General features: G+C 34.7%; 1 protein-coding gene across 9 annotated transcripts in view; it reads right to left on the reverse strand.

The window, feature by feature from the left end:
• Window positions 1–21,944, reverse strand: part of KLHL13 (kelch like family member 13) — a 219,528-nt gene that overhangs the window by 9,841 nt on the left and 187,743 nt on the right. For 7 of the 9 annotated variants that reach the window (NM_001168301.2, NM_001168303.4, NM_001168302.2 and 4 more), the window contains 3 exons: window positions 12,585–12,717; window positions 11,868–12,064; window positions 1,648–2,443 (listed from right to left, as the gene is read on the reverse strand). In NM_001168301.2, coding sequence (NP_001161773.1) covers window positions 1,648–2,443; window positions 11,868–12,064; window positions 12,585–12,717 — 1,126 coding nt within the window. The remainder of the gene's footprint in view (window positions 1–1,647; window positions 2,444–11,867; window positions 12,065–12,584; window positions 12,718–21,944) is intronic. The other 2 variants (NM_001394866.1, NM_001394864.1) reach the window with 1 other exon arrangement.

Consider the following 21,944-nt stretch of genomic DNA (forward strand, 5'->3'; position numbering starts at 1 on the left):
CACTAAGGACACTTATGCCTTAACTGCTTTTAAAAGTCCAATTATTAAAATATATTGGAAAACCTATGCAGTTCATGATCATGCGACATAGTCCAACAATCTAGAAAATCTGGTCTTAGAAAAAAATATCATTGTAACAACAAAGAAAAAAAAACTTTGGGTAGAAAAGATCAGGAAAAAGACCATGTCACTAACAAGAAAGGGTTTTATAAACAGGAAAGTATAAAAGCTGAGAACAGTTATTCTATTCTCTGATAAATAGCTTAGTCTCAAATACATTAAACTATCTTTTATTTCTTAGAATATTGAAAAATAAAGATTCTGAGAATTACTCTGAACTTATCCAGAGCCAATGCCAATATTTTGAACTTTCCCAGCTCTATGGAGCCTGGAATTGGTCAACTACAAGGACATTATTTATTTATTTATTTATTTATTTATTTATTTATTTATTTATTTATTGTGTTCAAGCAATCCTGCTTCAGCCTCCCTAACAGCTAGGACTACAGGCATGAGCCACATCTGGCTTTCTTTCTTTCTTTCTTCCTTTCTGTCTTTCTGTCTTTTTTGTATTTTTTATTTATTTACTTATTTATTTATATTATTATACTTTAAGTTCTGGGGTACATGTGCAGAACGTGCTGTTTTGTTACATAAGTATACACGTGCCATGGTGGTTTGCTGCACCCATCAACCTGTCACCTACATTAGGTATTTCTCCTAATGCTATCCCTCCCCTAGCCCCCCAACCCCAGACAGGCCCTGGTGTGTGATGTTCCCCTCCCTGTGACAGACTCTATTTATAATAGAGAATAAAATAATTGAAAACAAGGCCAAACAATAATGGTAATGACAAATATATGTCACAACATAAAATGTGGACTTCCTGCCTTTATTTTTGGAAAAATTATACTATCCCAATTTTATCTGAAATAATAAAATTTTACCTTTTTGGGTTAATTTACATAGCCAAAGTATTCTACATCAAAGTACATTTATGACCAATTTTATACTGGGAAGACAAAAAGGTGACCATCAAATAAAGCTTACCAGATGGGCTTATGGAAAAGAAAACTATCTGATATTACGTCAACAGAATTATTTTTAAAACAGTCATAGATCATAATATTCACAGTGAACAAACTTTGGATAATGTTGAACTTTGTACATTTAATCTATAAAGAAAATTATCTTTGTGGCCACTAATAGGTAACATATTTTGTAAAAGAAGAAACAATGAAAGTTTTCTGTAATGAAGGATTGTAACCTGTTCAGTAAAATATCATATGGCCTTTTAAAAGCAGAAAATGAGAAAACATGCCAAACTTCTATCCAAGACCTTATTATAATTTAAATGAGCTAAGTATACTCTTTAGATGAACCTTCAAGATGAAGACCATATATACTGCACAGGTGAAATATGCTACAATATACTGATGTATTTGTAACGTACAATTTGTTCCCTTGCCAACGATATATGCCCAGATAAGGCATAAAGATGGTCTTCAATATTTTCTCAGAAAAATAGTTTTAAAATAAAACCCTAACTACATTTTTATCTGATTTTACAGGACTGCTTATTTTATGATTTGATAAGAATTTCTGAGTGAAGAAATTTGTCTCTATGCTTAATATAAATGCACTTACGCAGTTCACCTGCTGCATTTCGCCCACCAACTGCATACAGATATCCTTTGAGGGCACTTAGGTGGAAGAAGGTGCGCTTTTCATTTAAAGATGCAACTTGCATCCATTTATTGTATCGAGGATCAAATCTGAAGACTGTATCAACTGCCGTTTTTCCTTTTGTATCATAATTACTCTGTCCGCCAACCACATAGAGAAAATTTCCAATGACGGCGATGCCATGCTGGTACCTTGGGGCATCCATGGGGGCTAACGATTTCCACTCATGGGCCTTTTCATCATACATGCGCAATTCCTTACTGACAACCAGCTGCTGCCTCAGCACTCCTCCTAGTGTAACCAAGTGAGTGGTGTCAGACCTAATGGCAGTCCTGTCTGACTGCATAACTGGCTGCATATATGGCATCATTTGGTAATTGCTGGCTTCCAAAAGCAAATTCACACAAGTATTGTCAGTTCTCATGAAATCCACCGTTTGCACGTAATTAATGAGCTCCTGTGGTGTCATCAGTGGAAATCGTATGTTCTTCATTAATTTTGCAGCAAAGTCCATCCGAGGCTCTTCCAGGCGAAGCCAACGACAGGTAGCCTTAAAGAGCTCAAGTTCAGTACAGTGCTTAAGGCTATTACTGGAAAGCACGAAGGCAAGACGCTCAAAAGGGAGTTTCAAGAACTCCCCTGTGCTCAGCAATGCAGGAAAATTCTTCAAGACGAAACTGTTAACGTATTTATCCACTTCGGTTAGATTGTAGGTGTTGGCAATCCGTCCAACTTCAACACAGTTGTCTAAAGTGACCTATTAAGCCAATTAAAAAAAATTAAAACATGACTACTTTCATGGCAATCACATCTTGATAGCACAAATACCTGTTCTAGAATAAGAGTAAATTATGCTTTTAATGTTCAAATAGATACAAATAGGATTCTTATCTAAATGTATCAATGATCTACAAACAGATAATTTGCAAACCACCTTTACTTAATCCACTAGAAGGCTGACTAAAAGAAAATGATCAAAGTCAGTAAGTTAGAAGCTACTCTAAGAAACAATGTTATAACTGGAATATGGCCAAACCAGTTACTCTTCTCTCCTCAAAAATGTATCCCACCCCCACCCCCAAAATACTGATAAAATTCCTGCCAGATGGAAACTTGGGAAAATAGAAGGTTGTTCTATTATGATTCATCTCAATCCACTTCTTAGTCATTATTCTTAAAAATACCACACAGCTAGCAGATCCATGAACAGAAAAGCTCTAATACCCAAACCCTAGATTTCCCTTTCACGTAAATAGGCATCACTCATTACTATCATTCATTTTGGTTCCTTCAAAGTTATCACTCATAATGAAAATAATTTAATAAGATAATTATCCCTAGGGCAAATTAATTTTCAACATTATTTATCTGGAAATATAAGCAAGGAAATGTCTTTCTTAAGGGCAGAGGGGTATATCTACAACAAATCTCTCATGTAAATGAGATTTTGGTATCTGTGATGACTGCTTCCATCTGGGCAACACAGCTTTCCTTAGCCACTCTTACTTTCAGCACATTCTGTTTCTCTCTGGCGTCAACATGAGCCCAGAACCATCTCCCCACCATAGAGCAAAATATACCATAAAGTGAAAAGCTGACAAAGAAGAGAAGTGACAGAGAGGCCTTTCCTCAGTAGAACCTCTTTTCAATGCTCTAATAACTGACTCATCAAAGGAAAAATAGGAAAAATAATATTAGCAAATATAATACAAAGAACAAACCACAAAAACAAGCCTACAATAAAAAATGCCAGTGTGTATGTATACAAACAGACACAGATCACAGGCAAAAGACTTAAATGTTTGGTTGTTTTTAAAATTTTGTCAGGTTATGTGTCCTCAATATCACACAAACTTTATCAATGTATTGTTAACCTCACACCTGTATAGTTAACAGATTTGGCAGATGGTTAAGAGAAAATAAAATAATCCTCCTGTTGACATTTCTTTAAAAACTGAAACAAAGCTAAAAACATTACTCCTCCGCATAAAATGACAGCCCAGTTAGGATATAATATCACTGAAATCTCTAAGGTTAACACACACACATTGTTATTTTCATAGATTATTTTAATTAGACTTTAACTTATGGGATATACATGCAGAACGTGCAGGTTTGTTACATAGGTATTACACGTACCATGGTGGTTTGCTGCACCTATCAACCCGTCATCTACATTAGGTATTTCTCCTAATGCTATCCCTCCTCTAGCCTCCCAGCCTCCAACAGGCTCTGGTGTGTGATGTTCCCCTCCCTGTGCCCATGAGTTCTCATTGTTCAACTCCCACTTATGAGTGAGAACATGTGGTGTTTGGTTTTCTGTTCCTGTGTTAGTTTGCTGAGAATGATGGTTTCCAGCTTCATTCATGTCCCTACAAAGGATATGAACTCATCCTTTTTTATGGCTGCATAGTATTCCATGGTGTACATGTGCCACATTTTCTTTATCCAGTCTATCATTGATTTATTACTCAAAAAGAATTTGTGCTCTTTTAAGTAGCTGATTTGCTTTACAAAAATGTTTAATTGCTTATTTTACTTAGTAGCTACATATTTTTAAAATACCTAACACATAACTGTAACATAAAAAAATAGAAAAATAAGTTAACAAATTATGAGTCTCTAGAAATAGACAGCATAACACTGTATAAATACCCTGGATTTCTAACGTGGTTAATAAAAAGTCCATTTAATCCAATTTGAGGAGCTGCAGGTCGGTGGTTCAAAAATTTAAGTTTTGTAAATGGAGTTACAGTCAATACCTGTTTTCCCAATTCACCCTGAGTGGAAGGAATTTGAGGTCATGAATTCACTTCCCAAGACAAGTAAGAATTATCTCGTCCCCAGAGTGAAGGTGATTTATACTTTTGAAGATGTTTATTAGTACAGTTAAGCAAAAGTTGATGACAACACAAATATAATTCCCAAGTATGCAAATTCTCATCATTATTGATATGATTACTAAAAAACAACAAAGAATGGGTACTTTAAGAAGACAAAATGATACTACCAGTTGCCAGTCACCAAACTGAAATCTAAATTTATAGCATGTAAAACAGAGCAAGATTAAAGATTAAAAGCCAAACTGTATAATTCAGAAATGGGATCAAGGTATTTAATTCCTTCACCTTTTCCCTCTTCAAATTTATCCAGTGAGAAAACGATTGCTAGAATAACATGAGAAAGAAACTTAAATTTTATTTACAGGCATTTGGAAAATACCTTCTGTATATCAATACGTTCATATATACAGACACACAAGACTAGAAAAGACTTTGACAGACCATCTAACCAATACAAATAGCTGCCTACTTTTTTCTTTAAAATCACCAGAGAAAGGTATTCCATAACCTTCCGAACTGTTATCTTCTTGACAGAAGAACTAAGTATTTTCTTTTTTTATTTCTTTCAGTTTTTAATTTTTGTAGGCACATAGTTGGTATATATATTTATGGGGTACCCAAGACTAAGTATTTTCTATAGCTCATATACAACAGCTACTATACTGTGAGTATACAACAAAGGCTAAATACTACAAGTATCAAAAATATAAAAAGTAAAGATACGATGATAGATGCAATTAAAAATAGGATACCTGTTGAATTAATGTAGCAAATTACTAAAACCTTATTAATTTCAAAATGAGACACAGACAAGAAAAATATGTAATAGGAAATTAATTCTTAGCAAGTATATGTAATCAAAGCTTAAAAATTAATCATAGAATATAGAAATTAAAGAAGCAAAGTCTACAGTAATAATTAACAATATAAATAGACCAAAACTGATGGAATTATAGTAAACAATGGCCCAGAGAAATACATAATATTCTATTATGGTTCATTTTAATCCACTTCTCCATCATGATTCTTAAAAGTGACTCAGCTAGAAATCTCCAAACATTAAGCCTAGACAGTATTTTTAAATGGATACATGTGTTTGTTTATCCACTGGATACATAAAAGGATAAATGGATAATTGGATATCCATAAATGGATAATTGGACTTATAATGCAATTTACATATATAATAGAATACACATTGAAAATATAAAATATGAAGTTTAAAGCTTATTTTAAAAATTTCTAAGTAGAAATTTCATCTGAGTTCATCTTTTATTTCATCTGAAAACCTGGCCACAATTCCAAAGAAGGTTCACTTAAAAACAGAGTTATAACAGAAGTTAATCCAAATAACTACATTGGCATTTAAAAAGAACAACAAGGCCGGGGGCGGTGGCTCACGCCTGTAATCCCAGCACTTTGAGAGGCCTTGGTGGGTGGATCATGAGGTCAGGAGATCGAGACCATCTTGGCCCACATGGTGAAACCCATCTCTACTAAAAATACAAAAATTAGCCGGACGTGGTGGCACACGCCTGTATTCCCAGCTACCTGGGAGGCTGAGGCAGGAGAATCACTTGAACCCGGGAGGCGGAGGTTGCTGTGAGCCAAGACCGCACCACTGCACTCCAGCCTGGTGACAGAGCAAGACTCCATCAAAAAAAAGAAAAAAAAAAAAAAGAACAACAAAAAAGGATAAAACTCTTCAAGCACCTGTGGGAACCTATAAAATTGTTCTTAAAATAATCAACTGCTCATTTACATTTCTTTGATATAAATTATTATAAATTATTCTTTTATAACCAAACAACAGTCATAGTCATCCTAAAGGCACTTCCAACATCATAATATTGCAAGTGGTATTCTCAATAACATACTGGTCCTCACTGCTGCTGTACTATTCAAATTATAACTGATGTACCCAAAACACTGTCATTAACATAATTTGCTATTTTAATGGAAGATTTCATCTGAAATCTAGGACTTTTTTTAAAAGATTGGTGTTTTATACAAAGAAATTCCCATTTAGAAAAAAATGGGTATCTGCTTTTTTTTTTTTTTTTCTGGCTAGCCGAGTGAAGCAGTCAAAGTGAAGAAGGAACAAAGAAATCTGTAACTGGTTGTGATCAATTAGTTGTAAACACCACTGCACTCGGACCAGCCAGTATCTGCTTTTGTACTCTCAAGGGAAATGCAAAGACTAAGAAATCTGGCAAAAATTTGGGGAACTCCTTAGCCATTCAATGCGCCAAATTCTACTTGGTGCTATCTAGTTTATTAAAATGACAGCCTGATATCTAGTACAATCAATGCAGAGAATGAAACCATGTCCACAGAATAAGACTAGGAAGAAATCCAACAAGGTACTTCAGCAGGCAGAGAATGTACAGGTATCTTTTCTCAAGCCTCCTTCCACAGATGAGACCATCACAGGACACAAAGAAGAGACACTTTGGTAAGAACAAAGGGATAATTGAATAATAAACACCTCTCTCTCTTTCAGTCTTTGTCTTTCTTCAGTTTCTAAATGCTATTTGAGGTGAATGCCACTGGTGTCTCCAGCCCAAAATATTCAATTCTCTATTTATTTGCACTTTGAATGCAGTTCCTTTATTGAATGCAATGTTAGTTATTACAATGGCTTTTGTGAGGTTGAAGAGGTTTGAGCCCAGGCTAGGCCTCTTCTTCCCAGACAGAGTCCCAGATAGCAGATAGGCAAGAATGGGTGCTCAAGGTTATAGGAGGGATATTTAGAATATTTAAAAACCACAAAAGATGGGTATCAACCAATCAGAATGGATGGCCGACCATAAGCAACGGGGATGGCCTTCTATGTACTATTTGCCCAATATCAGCCCTGTCAATAAGGAAGTCAAGACTGGTTTGGTGGGGAGGGAAATAATTTTGATTCATTTTTAATTTTAATTATCTATACAATTTGTCTCTAACTTGCATTAAATTGCCCTCAAAAGTGAAAAAAAAATCTTAAAAAACATGTCTGTTAATCTTTACGGGTAAATACAATTTAGATTAAATGAAAAATGTGAAATATATGTACTATGCAGGAAATCCTCAGTAATTTAGTAACAGAGGCAAAGCAAAAGGAACTGTCTTCTCCAATGACTTCTGATTCTTTTTGTTTTTCTTTTGAGAGAAACATATTCTCCCTATTCCTCTCTCTTGTCTCCTTCCCACTTATGTACCTCCTTTATTTTGTCTCCAACTCTTCATCACCTCCAGTCACCTCAATAAACTTTCTCTCTACTTCATTGTAAGCTCTCCACCCCATCACTGATAACAAATGTGCAGGTGAAACCAGTAATCTACCTGCATCAAGGGGGGAAAACACAATTAAAAAATTATTTTAAGAAAGATTATCCCCAAGTCTAAAGCCCAATGACATATCTCATTCTCTTGTTAAAAAATGCTTTTATACAAACATAAAGTGATTTCTTTCTCACCTTTATTCTGTTTTGTTCATTCTATATATTTGTATATTTAAATTGTAATCTTTTGAGTTCAATTACAGATGCCCTATTTCAGCAACCTAACATTAAATTAGGTTGTTTTGTGAACTAGCCTAAAATCCTCCATAACAAAAGTTCCGTGGGGCAAATGCTAGATGCTAAAAATTTCAAATTGCAAACAAAGGATAAACAAAACTTACACAACTTTCTTATAAACTAGCAAATGGGGCTGGGCGCGGTGGCTCACGCCTGTAATCCCAGTGCTTTGGGAGGCTGAGGCGGGTGGATCACCTGAGGTCAGGAGTTTGAGACCAGCCTGACCAACATGGAGAAAGCTCGTCTCTACTAAAAATACAAAATTAGCCAGGCACAGTGGTGCATGCCTGTAATCCCAGCTACTCGGGAGGCTGAGGCAGGATAATCGCTTGAACCTGGGAGGCGGAGGTTGCGATGAGCCAAGATCCTGCCATTGCACTCCAGCCTGGGCAACAACAGCGACACTCCGCCTCAAAAAACAAAACAAACAAACAAAAAAAAAAACACTAGCTAATGGGCACAGTATTTAACATGTTGTAGTTATACAATGTCATAAGGACAAAACCAATGTAATTTTTAGGTATGACTAAACAAAGGCAATTTTCCATTATCTTCATAGTATATAAAAGTGGTTTTAGTTTTACAGAAATTTTTACCTACCATGCTTCATATCTATCCTTCATTGTCATCCTTCTGTATTCATTTCATTGTCCTCTTTTCCATAACTCCAAGAAAATAACATAGCAAAAACAAAAATGCCACATCCTATAAACCACTAAGTAACACTGCAAATGATGGCAAAGTTAGAAGGGAGGTTGGCTCTTGTTCCATTAACACTGATGCTCTGTTATAGAAAACTGGTATCTCTATCCCACCAAAGGTGAGTGTGGCTTTACTAATGTATCTAGAGTTATCATTTAAAACTAATACATACATGTTTTCTAGGTTCTTTACTGATTCGCATTTTACATACCACTGTTACTGATTCACACTTTACGTACCACTGTTCTTCTTCCTCCACACAAATGATTGAGAATAGGATAGAACAGAATTGTATTAGAAGGGAATTTTTCTGTCTAAAAGTTCAAACCCAAATAGTGTTTTGATTATGTGAACTATAATATCACTATATCATTAAAAACATAAAGCCTATTTCCTCTAAAACATCTTATTTCAGCACACCGTTCTTAAACATGAGAACATTATATTAAAATTTATCTATAATAACTTAGCTCATGGAAGAACTTCAAAAAATCCTCCTTTAAAAAATATAGTATCTTGAGATGTTCAGTTTTTATAAGTAGAAAATACACTGGGCTACTATTTTTCCTTTTTCACTTGATTGCTGAGAAGGAAAGGGGAAATAAATAGAGCAAGACTGAACATAGGTTTAACTAAAAAAACAGAATGCATGAAAGAAGGGTAAAGGAAAACTTGGGTTTTGCATGTTCCTGGAACTAATCATCTGCCAGATTTTCTCAAAAATTACAATGGATTCTGAGAGGGAAGAGATTTCTACTCTAAAACCATACAGACATATCCTCTGCAAAAAAGGATGAAGGACAAGTAAGGTAGAATAATGCAAAGAAAAGAGGTAATTCCTAAAAGTTCATAGGCAAGAAAATTCTAAAACTGAGAGGTAGGAGTAAACTCTATCACAAGTAATCTTTGCTACAGAGAAGCCTCTTCTCCATTAGAAATAGGTTTTAGGATGTCTGCAAAGGATGCAAAAAAAAAAAATGAACATGATATTTAAGGCAATATTAAGTGTTTATAAAAATGAAGACATTTCTAAATTGTTAAACAATTATAATAAATGTTTCAACACAGGTTAAGGAACCAACAGTCTAATTACTGGAAATTAGCAATACAAAGTGACTATGGTCTCATCTTTAAATAAAATTGCTTTAAATACAGTTATCTAGAACAAAATTCTTTTCTATTATTGTGACAGTAATATTACTATAACTTTTTTGTATTGTGTATTATCCAGTTTGGTCATTTTCTTTCAGGTAAAGGAATTGATCACAATCAATACCTGAAGTTCTAAGTACTAAACTTCTGCATTAGAGGATAGGCCAACAATGTCTCTTGTTAATGATTAGTTCCAAAGAAATCATGGCACTTTCCTTAATTTGGCTCAGGATGACCATGTGTTGCTAAGATCAGTGTAAAGCAATGTTAAGAGTCTATAAGTACAAGCTTTAAGTGTTACTACTAAATTAAATTCTGGACTTGAGGCATTTTGAAAATCACATTCAATATGATTCATTTTTCCTTGAAATGAAGTTGTTATATCATGCCAGTGACACAACCAGAGGTGAGATCCTAATAGCTCTTGAGGGAATGGGCCTTGCATGATCAAATTTAAATAAAATTTAGCACCTAAATTCAGTAATGGAGGCAAGCAATAGCATGGGAATTAACCAACTTCACTTGGGCTACTTTCGCAATAAAGAAGACAATACAAGTCAACAATATAGCACCATGCTGCCATAAAAACCCTTAAAAGTAGCAATTAGTTCAAATTTTATAAGTAATTGTGAGACAGCAGTCTGAGTTTTCTAAAATCAAACATACAAAAAACACACTTTCAATAGGCCAGTTAAATTAGTTATTGGCTGACTTTTAAGATAGTTAAGTACCTTAATAATAAAATAATTAAGGACATGGCTCTCTTGAAACTTAGTGTTTTAAAGAAGGTTCCATGTTCAAAAAATGTAAGTTGTAAAGATCTAACAGCAATTATTTACCTATATTAAGATTCATATGAGTTAAAAAATTATAGAAAACATATCCATCAACATAATGAGTTAGAAAATATACCAAAAATTAATATTGCCAGAATTCTTAATCAGAAAAACAAGCTCCAAGACCTCTGGAAGTCTTGGCAATATTTCTGTCCAATGTAGCCATTTATCTCCCCAGAAGTAAAATTTAAAGGTCTCAACTAAAATAAAACACTCTCTTCAGGAACTGGGTGACTATCATTAAGTACTCCATCGATTGGTAGTTGTATGTGTCCTATCTTATCTATTAAAAAATGGCTAAACACTATTCAGTAGGTGATATGTTTCTATGGAATCAAGACTTACATTCTTACAGGTTTGCCCATAGGTATTAGTTCTTCTTAAGATCTAGCTCCCTTATTAAAAGAAGAAATTTTAAAGAGTTCTAGAAGCTCAGATTACTTTTCCATTCAATTACATTTAAGAAGCCTGCTTGTATAGTCATTAAGGTGAATAAAACCAGATTATGGTACATACCATTATCAAACAGTTAAAGTATATATCTTCATCAAACATTATTAGTATCTCATGTCATTTGATTACACAGAGGCTTTTTTTTTCTTCCTGAGATGGAGTCTCACTCTTGTTGCCCAGGCTGGAGTGCAATGGCGTGATCTCAGTTCGCCACAACCTCCACCTCCCAGGTTCAAGCGATTCTCCTGCCTCAGCCTCCCAAGTAGCTGGAATTACAGGCATGCACCACCATGCACAGCTAATTTTTGTATTTTTAGTAGAGACGGGCTTTCTCCATGTTGGTCAGGCTGGTCTTGAACTCCCAACCTTAGACGATCTGCCCGCCTCGGCCTCCCAAAGTGCTGGGATTACAGGCGTGAGCCACGATGCCCGGCCAACACAGAGGCTTTTATTAAATGATTCTATTTCATAAAAATGCACCTGTTTCAATCTCACCTTGCTTACAGACCACATACAACAAGACACATCTGTCTAATGGCAAGTTTCACATTCCTGCACAGCAGATTTCATGAGTCCTAAACAGGCTACATCAGAGTCTACCACAGGAAAAATCAGATTTCAAAATATCTTACCCCAGATATGAGAAACACTTTACAGAAGTCCAAAACTGGCAGAATCTGTAGGAAACTGGCAGCTTCCAGCGTGTCTTGAAGGTTGTCCATATTAAGAGAAAGCTTTGCAGTATAAATGAAATCAATAATTTTCCTTAGACCGACTTTGCTCACACCATGAAGTTTAATGCACATTAAATCTTGTTCTTTCATTCCACCTTAAATAAAAAGACATTCAATTAAATGAAGGTGGATAATTATGGTCAAACTCACTTCTGCTGCTAATTAGATGCAATAAAATCAAAGGAAAGTCTTATCTTATATAAGCAGTCATATTAGAGTCAGTCTGCTGCACATTTTACTGTTAAAAGAAAGTACTTAAAAAAGATAATCTCTATACTAATGGAGGTCATATATGATGCAAGTGCTTCCAAAATGTTCTCACTTCCTATTTTTTGACATAGAGTAGAGATTGTACTAGGAGGACACAGAGTCTCTGATGGCCCACTAGATATAAGCTTGAAAAAGAAAAGCTGTGAGATAAAGATGGACAGTATGAAAAAAGTGCATCAATTTTCCATGTTAAAACAGCACCACCGAAAACCATACATACTGTTGTGTACTTCTTTTGAAGCTGTTTCCAAAAGAACCAAATTTCATGTTAGAAATAAAAAAGATTTAAACACGGATTTTTCATATTGTTTTAATGTGGTTTCAGAGTTTTAAAAGGCAAACTACCTGTGAACATAGCCTTGAAGTAATCACTAGCAGATGCCATCATGACTCTATGCACAGGGAAAGCATCATCTGTGTCACCTGGCATCAGGGTCACATCACAAAGCAATCCTTCAAGTCGAAGCTGGTCAAAGCCCTACAACAAGAACATGAGTTGAGTCACTAATCAAGGTAAAATGAGGTTACAAATCTTCGTGTGCTAAAATTGTTTGAATATTAATGTGGTGCAACATATGTGGAACATAAAGCCAACAGAATATTCGGGAGAAGAAAAAATAACTGCACAACTTTCCTGATATGTGACAATGCATGTTTTCTTTCACTGTAGGAATAACACAAAATTAAGACTAATTTAGGTTAAAAACGATTAAGGAAAAAGTATATACTTTTGCTTATTTACACAATTATCAGCTTTTACCTTATTTTGAAAAATAATTACAATGTGCACTTCTACTTTCCCATCTGCAGAATGAGAGTATTAGACTGTCTTAACATTCCTTTTCGCGATAATTTAATAGTCCTTTTATAGTGCTTGACTGAAGCATCTTGGTTTTGTTTTGTTTTGGGGGAGGTTGAGAAAGAAAAGTAGAGAGCAACTGTATTAAGTACACGATAGTTCTTTCTACTAATTGTATTACTTCATCTCTTTGAGAAGCCTATACTCAGTACATTGCTGCTGCCTGGCCAAATATCTTTCAAGTTTCAAGTTTGAGACTTAATTATCTTTGTTTGAAAAAAAACAAAAAAAAGCCCAGGAAACCCCAACATGAGACTTAATTGTCTCCAAATGCCTAAAGGTTTAGTGGAGAATTAACAGGCTAGCAGCCACAATTCAGAGGAGTGACAGAGCTCTGGTGAGAAGAATCCTTGTTGATTAGCTTTTTCACTACACCCTGATGGTCTCAACTAACGACAAATAGACAGTTGTTCTATTGATATAAGTTGGAAGAATGACAATCACTTTTAAGATTATAACAGGTTGAATCTACAACATACACATATTTCAAAACATCATGTTTTTCAATTTTTATCTTTTATTTTTAATTTTTGTGGGTACAGAGATGTATGCTTTAGGGGATGGATACCCCATTTACCATGATGTGATTAAAATATCATGTTTTACATGACAAATTATATATAATGTTTATTTGTCGATTAAGAATAACGAATTTAAAAAGATTGTAACAGGCTACTAAAGTACACCAAAAGGGAACAATATGCAATTTAACAATGATACAAAAAATGAACATTTTGGCAAGATTGAGTCTGTAGTTTCAAAGATAGAAATGTTTCATTATAAAAAACCAGGAAGACAGATACACAAAATACACAAATTGCTTTCTAATAATATAATACAGTAAGAACCAACAGCATTGATTACTCTGTCCCCTTCATATTTTAATGACTTCAAATAAAACTATGTTTTGTTTCACAGATTTAAAGAGCAAAAGGCATAACATATTAAGAATGCAGTTTTAAAAATATTGATCCTACACATATGTGTAGTATAAACCCTAGTTAAGCTTCTCATTTTAATTTTAAAGCTTTTTAAAGAAAATGCTTGAATTACAGAACTGGAACTTCAAAGAGATGATCTGATCCAGCCACTCTCCCTCTAGGGAAAGAGATGAATATTTTTATTCCAAAAATATTTATACATTATACATACACTTTAAAACAAGATTATATATCATATTTTTCTTTTTCCAACAATGATTGACATGTTTATGTTAACAAATATCAAATCTTTCACAAATGCCCCTTTTTCTTTGTAAACCCAAACATTATATATCCTATGCCACTATTTTTATTTTCCATTACTAATTCGTCTGCTGTCTCTGTTATTTAGAAAAGTAGAAGTAAAATAATAATAGCTCATCTTATAAAAAGAGATGCCAATTTTAAGGGAATATTCTCATGCTGAAGGCATGAGAAGAGTCACTTCAGCTCTTTTTTTGTTTTGTTTTTTTGAGACAGAGTCTCGCTCTGTCGCCCAGGCTGGAGTGCAGTGGCGCGATCTCGGCATTGATATATGGGGTCTAAATTGCAATAAATTTGTGGGAATCACCTTTCAAATGTAGAGTATTGGGAAGCAGTGAATGAGGACACTAGGGTGTGGGAGAGGATAGTCAAGCATCAGCTGAAACAGTTGAGAGACTAGCATCTTTGAATTCCCCAGTGTTTGGCATACTGTTGGTACTTAATATATGTTCCATTAACGCATGAACAAACAAACAAAATTTTACTCAGAAGCTACCACTGGTAACTTTAAAGCCATGTAGTCACATTGGGTAGGATGTAAACTTTGCAACAAGTTAACTGGAAACCAGGAACTTATTTGTGAAACCTCTCCCAATAATAAAATGAGTTGTGCTTAAAGTGTTCGTTTGTGTTCGTTTGTGGTAGTTTGTGGTAGTGGTAAAGGTTAAGGTAAGAGAAAAGGTAGTGAACCAGGAGTTGGGGAGAAAACGTTGGCTCCCAAACTTGTGTTTGTTTTATCCCTCATATAAATTTCAGGTTTAAAAAATTAAATATGTGCTTGTATGTTTTTTGAAGTCAAAATACAGAAGGATATAAGTTAAAAACTTAAAGGCTACCTCTTTCACTTACTAGAAGTAACCACTGTTAACAGTTTAGTAAGCATACTTCAAGACCTCATTCTCTATATATCATAATCTACATTATGCTTGTATTAAAATATATAAAGGCCTCTTTAAAGTGGGTTACTATACATACTGTTGTGCATTTTAAAATTCACTTGAGCAGATAACACAGATAGTCTTCTATCTCAGTGCACAGGATTTATTTCATTCTTTTAGTGCATGCACAGTAATCTACAGTAGGGGCATGTCATAAGTTATTTATCCATTCCCGCTTAGTTGAACACTCAGGTTTTCCCTCAAATTCTGCAGTTATAAGCAATGCCGCAATTAACTTCCTTGTACATACACTTAGCTGTCTAAGTATATCTGTGGGAGATATTCTCAGGACTGGAGTTGTTGGTTCGAAGGATATTTATTTTTAAAGTTTTGAATAGCTAATGGCAAGTTAAAGGATTTGATTTTTCTTGGGAAAAGTAACATACCTTGGGCATTGGCATAAAAAAGAGATGTCAAGATACTAATGAGATGAGTCTAGGTACTGTATGCCCCCTTTATGTTTATTTATCAAATAGTTTTTTATTCTTCTTCTCTAAAGCATACGTAGACAATATCTTTATAAAGAAATTCTGGATTATTTATTCAAAAGCAATGATTGTATCTGATCCATTATTTTCTTCCACTAAAGAACAAAAACAAACAAACAAACAAAACCTTCTTGGCTTATTTGCTAGCCTCCTGCCTTTAAAATATTCCTGCAAATATTTTACAATTGGAATTGAATAATGTCAGTATGTTCCATTCCTACTACATATTACTTTTTTTTCCCTCTGAAAAGAGGAGTAGCTTGTGCATCATGTATCGTCAGCTGTGTAATTTCTTGTTTTGTCCATATTCCATTCAAACTGCTTGTGGAGGTATGTAATCAATGCTCAAGATCTGGACAGCTTTGCTCAGCTAAGACACCGGGAGCTTTTATTCTTTTCACAGATTTTATCATTTTGTGTCCCTTTACACTATCATTTTTAAAAAATCCTTTAACCTTTCTCAGTATAATCTGGTGTCCCAAAAGAAAAGAAGTTAAGGCACCTAGAGCATTTTTAACAAATTCGGAGTGTCTTTTATTCCACGCTTAATGTATCTACCTTTGGCAAGTTATCTGCTTTTGTAAGGTTTTACATTTATTTTCACAACATACAGTGTCCCTTTCTAAACATTTCATAACCTTTATTTTTATATGCATAAATGAATGACCCCACTATCCAATTCCATATTAGTGAATTTTATTCTACGTTATGTCTATCTTTATCCAAATGATATCTGTCAATTCAGATTGTTTTCAAACAAATTCTAAACATCTTGTTTGTATATTATTTTCCAGATATCCCAGTTCTGTCTAAAGAGAAGCTCCTTCTGACTATACACATTGTTGTGTACAAGAAGGCAGTCATTTCTCTAAACACCTTTTATTCTCTAATCTTCTAGTGAAGTATGCATACATTAAAAGAAAAAGAGAGAGGTTCATTATCTTCCAAAATTCTCATCTGCCTTCTATATATCTACTTTTTGCTTTCACTCATAAATCTTTTCCCCTATTTAAGAAGCCTTTCAAAGATTCCTGCACACTCGAAATAAGTCCTTTTACTGTAAAATCATTTTCTTTCACCAAACTTGTACTCACTCTTCTTGAAAGATTTACATGAACATTTTTGTCTGTTTCCATATGCTAGTATACCATATACCTATGCAGCTCTGCTTTAGGCAAATTGTTCAGTTTCTAATTAGTTTTTCAGAATGTCCTTAAAACTGCTTCTGTTGATTTAAACTCATCATCTTTCCAGTCTCTCTATCTCAACACTTATCTTAGTTCTCTACTTTTCTGTCTCTGTGCCTTGGGTTTGATTTAAGAGGGGTTTGTCTGTCCTCAATTTCTTTAATATTTCCCTTTCTTCTTCTATAAATCTCCCCATATCTTCCTTTATTTTCTTCTCCATATCCTGGAAAAATAGCGTCATTTAATGCTATTTTGATGCTGGAAAATAGCATTTTAATGCTATTTTTAATGTTTAATGTTTTAATGTTTAATGTTTAATGTTTTTAAACATGTTTTTTCTCTTCACTGTATTAAACTTACCCAATGTATCAAAACTTCAACCTCTATTAAATAGAGAGAGGTACATATCTAATACCAGGAAACAAAGAAAGTCTGAAACATCTAATGAGTTTGATAAATTTTAAAATGATCATATTAAAACAGAATAGAATATGACTTGATATTACAGGATTATAACATGGAAACCAGACAAGCTATGAATAATTTGTATAAAAATTACTTGGATGTCAATAGCTTTCAAGTGAAATATAATGCTATTGTGAAAAAAAGCTACATTGATACTGTCAGGTATTTAAAAGGAATTTGATAAACAAATAATTCAACTAAATTCTACATTAGAACAAACTTACTAGCATATTATATCTAGTTTTGATCATTGTCATTTTAAGTAGAGAAAAAACGAAACACATCCTGAAAAGAGTAGTTAAAATTATAATGGAAAATATGTTCTATGAACAAAGATTAAGGAACTAAAGAAAGTTAAGAAATGGCCTTACTCCAGTGTTATGTAAATGTAATGTATTAGATAAAAACAATACCAGCCATGTTTTTATGAGGCTGCTCTTCATTTTATTCAAAGGACAGAAAAAGGAACAGATGCACTTAAGTTAAAACAAATATATAGGCTGGACATAAATGTTTATATTAATTTTAAACTCTGTGCTCATTATTATATAACACTGCTTAGACTTTAAAAACGTAAAGACTTTCCATCACTGCAATATAGCACAACTTCTGGTTTGCAGAGACTTCTTTGATCTGATCCCAACCTTATTTTTTATTAGTTCCCTATATACTCTGACCCGTCTTATCAGGTTGTTCTCCAAACGATCACATTGGTGATAAAAATTTTTTTTCACCTGGAATATCCTTCCTCCTTCAAAGACTAGCTTAAATTAGACCTCCTTTGTTGTTGTTGTTTTGTAGAGAAGGGGTTTCATCATGTTACCCAGGCTGGCCTCAAGGATGCCCCCCAACCGCCACCTGTCTCAGCCTCCCAAAATGCTGGGATTACAGGTGTGAGTCACCACACCTGCCCAAATTCCACCTCCTTTGTAAAGCTATCTCTCACACAATCATCTCTAAAATAATTAGGCATTTTTAGTTTGGATTTCACCATTACTTATTCAATTATATCCTATAAATTTATGTTTCCAGTAAGAGAGATTCGATTTACATTACGTCCTGAAACTCTTTAAAATCAAACAAAAATATATGGAAAAAAAGTTTAAAAACATTGAAGGAAAGGGATCTGTGAAAGATAAGAAACAAATTGGGTGAGCCCTATGACTGTCTAAATTTACTGCCTATGGATTTCAGACAGAGGTGCAGGGAGTGGGAACCCAGGCAAAACCTAGTATTCTCCTAGAGCTGAGAGTCTGGGGACATCAAGGCAGATAGGACAGAATATAAGAAGAGAGATCAGCACACAGAGAGGATTCCAGAGCTCGAAAAACAGTCACCCTCAAGGATTCCAGCGAGTAATGATAAACATCTTTGTCTGCAGAAAGAACCGCCAAAAAAGAGCACAAGGAATACTCTCCAAGGTTCACAAAGGGCTGGAAGTCGTTTCTATTCAAACCATGAGTGGAAACCTTACAAGGCTGGGGTTTTAAGCATCTGCCACCCCCACTGTCACCATCGTCAAAAGGATTCTGCCTCAGTACTGGGGGAAAGTTTGCTCTAGAATAAATGCTGGCCTGGTGCAATTTCACAAAGCTTAAAAGTAAATGAAAACCACATATTAATGAGAGCAGATGAATTAAGAAAGAAAATCAGAATGCAAACTCTCACCAAGCTGATGGTGAGTCCCCACCTCACCCCACCCCCTATCTTATATTTCCCAGTCTACCCCGACCTGGACTTAGGGCATCACGTAAGCTGGAAACAGTCACCTGTCAACAGACAGAAAAAGCTCCAGGAGAAGCCCCCTACTTCTTTTTTTTTTTTTTTTTTTTTTTTTTTTTTTTTTTTTTGAGATGGAGTCTCGCTCTGTCGCCCAGGCTGGAGTGCAGTGGCGCAATCTCGGCTCACTGCAACCTCCGCCTCCCAGGTTCACGCCCTTCTCCTGCCTCAGCCTCCCGAGTAGCTGGGACTATAGGCGCATGCCGCCACGCCCGGCTAATTTGTAGTTTTAGTAAAGACGGGGTTTCACCATGTTAGCCAGGATGGTCTTGATCTCCTGACCATGATCCGCCCGCCTCTGCCTCCCAAAGTGCTGGGATTACAGGCCTGAGCTACCGCGCCCGGCCACTTCTTTCTTAAAGAGAAGAAGATTCTCAAAGCTCAGAGAGCTTGGAGAGGACGCCTCGCCTCGCCCCGCCCCGCCCCTCCCGGCCTGGCCTGGATCCCAAGGCAATTTCAAGGCATTGGTAGCAAGAGGAGTGACAATGGTGACAGTGGGGGTGGCAGATGCCTAAAACCCTGTAAAAGAGGAACCTTTCTCCTTGGTCAGAGAAGCAGTGATTGTCTTTCTGTGGTGAATATTCAATTCAGTTCCTCTCTCTTTGTCTTTGGGCCAAGATGTGGGTGCAGCCATGATAACTGTGTGGCAGAGCAGGGAAAATAAGGTCCCAGCTTTCAGGCCAAAGGGCCAAAATAGAGCCCTAGCAACTGGAAAGAATTCGGAAGATGGTCCAGGTGGAGGAGAATGAAGAAGAGACCTCACAAAGTTCCATACCATGGAATACTGCTCAACAGTAAAAAGGAACAAACTATTGACATAGACAACAAAATGAATGAATCTTAAAATATTATACTAAGTAAAAGAAACCAGCCCCAAAAGCTTACAGATCATATAATGTCATTTATGTAACATTTCCAAAAAGACAAAAATAAAGCGACAGAAAACAGATCAGTAGCTTCCAGGGTTTAGGGATGGTGGTGGGTATAACTACCAAGGGGTAACAGGAGGGAGTATGCTGAGGTCATGGAATGGTTCTGTGTCATAATTCTGGAGATTAAATGAAACAATATATATGTTGAAACTCATAAAAGTATGTACTAATAAAAAATTGACTTTTACTGTATGTTAATTTACAAAAATAAAAGTAAAAGGATGGTAAAAGATATACAAAGCAAACACTAATTAAAATAAACCTAGCATGACTACAATACCAAACAAAATAGATCTCAGAGCATAGTACCAAAAATTAATCAGGTAACTTCATAATAAAGGTCAGTTTACCAAGAGAACATAAATTCCTTAGATGTCTGTGTGTTTAATAGCAGAGTTTCAAAATACATGAAGCAAACTGAGAGAACTACAAATAGAAATAAACAAATTTACAATTATAATTGGAGATTTCAATACCATTCTCTCAATAATTGATTTTAAAGGTGACAAAAACCAGTAAATATACAGAAATTAGCAAGGATACTGAAACAACACTATCAACCAACTTGACCTAATTGGCATTTACAGAATACTTCACCGAAGAACAGTAGGATGCAAATTATTTTCAGGTATATGTGAAACATTTACAAGATAGATCATATTCTGGGCCATAAAACTAGTCTTAAAAAATTTAAAAGGATTCAAGTCATACAAATTATTAATATGTTCTCTGGCCCCAGCTTAATTATATTAGAAATCAAAAATAGAAAAATCTCTGGAAAATCCCCAAATGTTTTGAAACTAAAACATACTTCTAAATAACCCATAAAGAAATCAAAAGAAAAACTCGTAAGCATTTTGAACTAAATGAAAATATAACATCAAAAATTGTGGAGTGCAGATGAAGCTCTACTTAGGGGAAATTTATATCAGTCAATGACTATATTAAAAAAGAAGAAACACCTCCTATGAAAGATGTTTCCTTCTTAAAAAACTAGAAATAGAAGAGCAAATTTATCCCAAATTAGGCAGGAGAATTGCAATAATAAAGATCATAGTGGAAATCAATGAAATAGAAAACAGAAAAACAGAAAAAGCAATAAGACCAAAAGCTGTTCCTCTGAGAAGATCCATAAATCTGACAAAACTCTAACAAGACGGATTAGGTGAGAAAAAGAGAGAATATACAAATTACCAATGCCAGGATGAATAGAAGTGGCATAAACTAGAGATTCTATAAGTATTAAAAGGATAATAAGGAAATATGAACAACTTCATGCCAATAAATTTGACAACTCAGTTTAAATGGACAAATTCTGTGAAAGACACAAGCTACTAAAGTTTTAGAAGAAACAGATAAACTAAATAGCTACATGTCTACTATAAAATTAAATTTTAATTTAAAATTGTTTCCCCAAGGAAAACTCTAAGATGAAATGGTTTCACTGGTGAAATCTATCAAACATTTAAGGAAGAAAGAACACCAATACCCCACAAACAAATCCAGAATATTAGGAGGAGAGCATATATCCCAAGTTATTCTACATGGCCAGCATTATTCTAATACTAAAACCAGACAAGACAATCACAGAAAGCCAAGATCAAAATCCATCGGGCACAAAGATGTAAAAATTTTCAACAAAATTTTAACAAGCCAAATTTACTGATATATAAGAATAATAAATACATCATGACCAAGTGAAGAGTTTATAACTCCAATGCAAGGTTGCTTTCACAATCAAAAGTTAATCAATATAAATCACCATACTAACAGACTGAAAAAGAAAAATGCTAAGATCATTTCTTAATGACTA

Source organism: Homo sapiens, chromosome X, assembly GCF_000001405.40.
Source record: "Homo sapiens chromosome X, GRCh38.p14 Primary Assembly".
In the NCBI taxonomy this organism is placed as follows: Eukaryota; Metazoa; Chordata; class Mammalia; order Primates; family Hominidae; genus Homo; species Homo sapiens.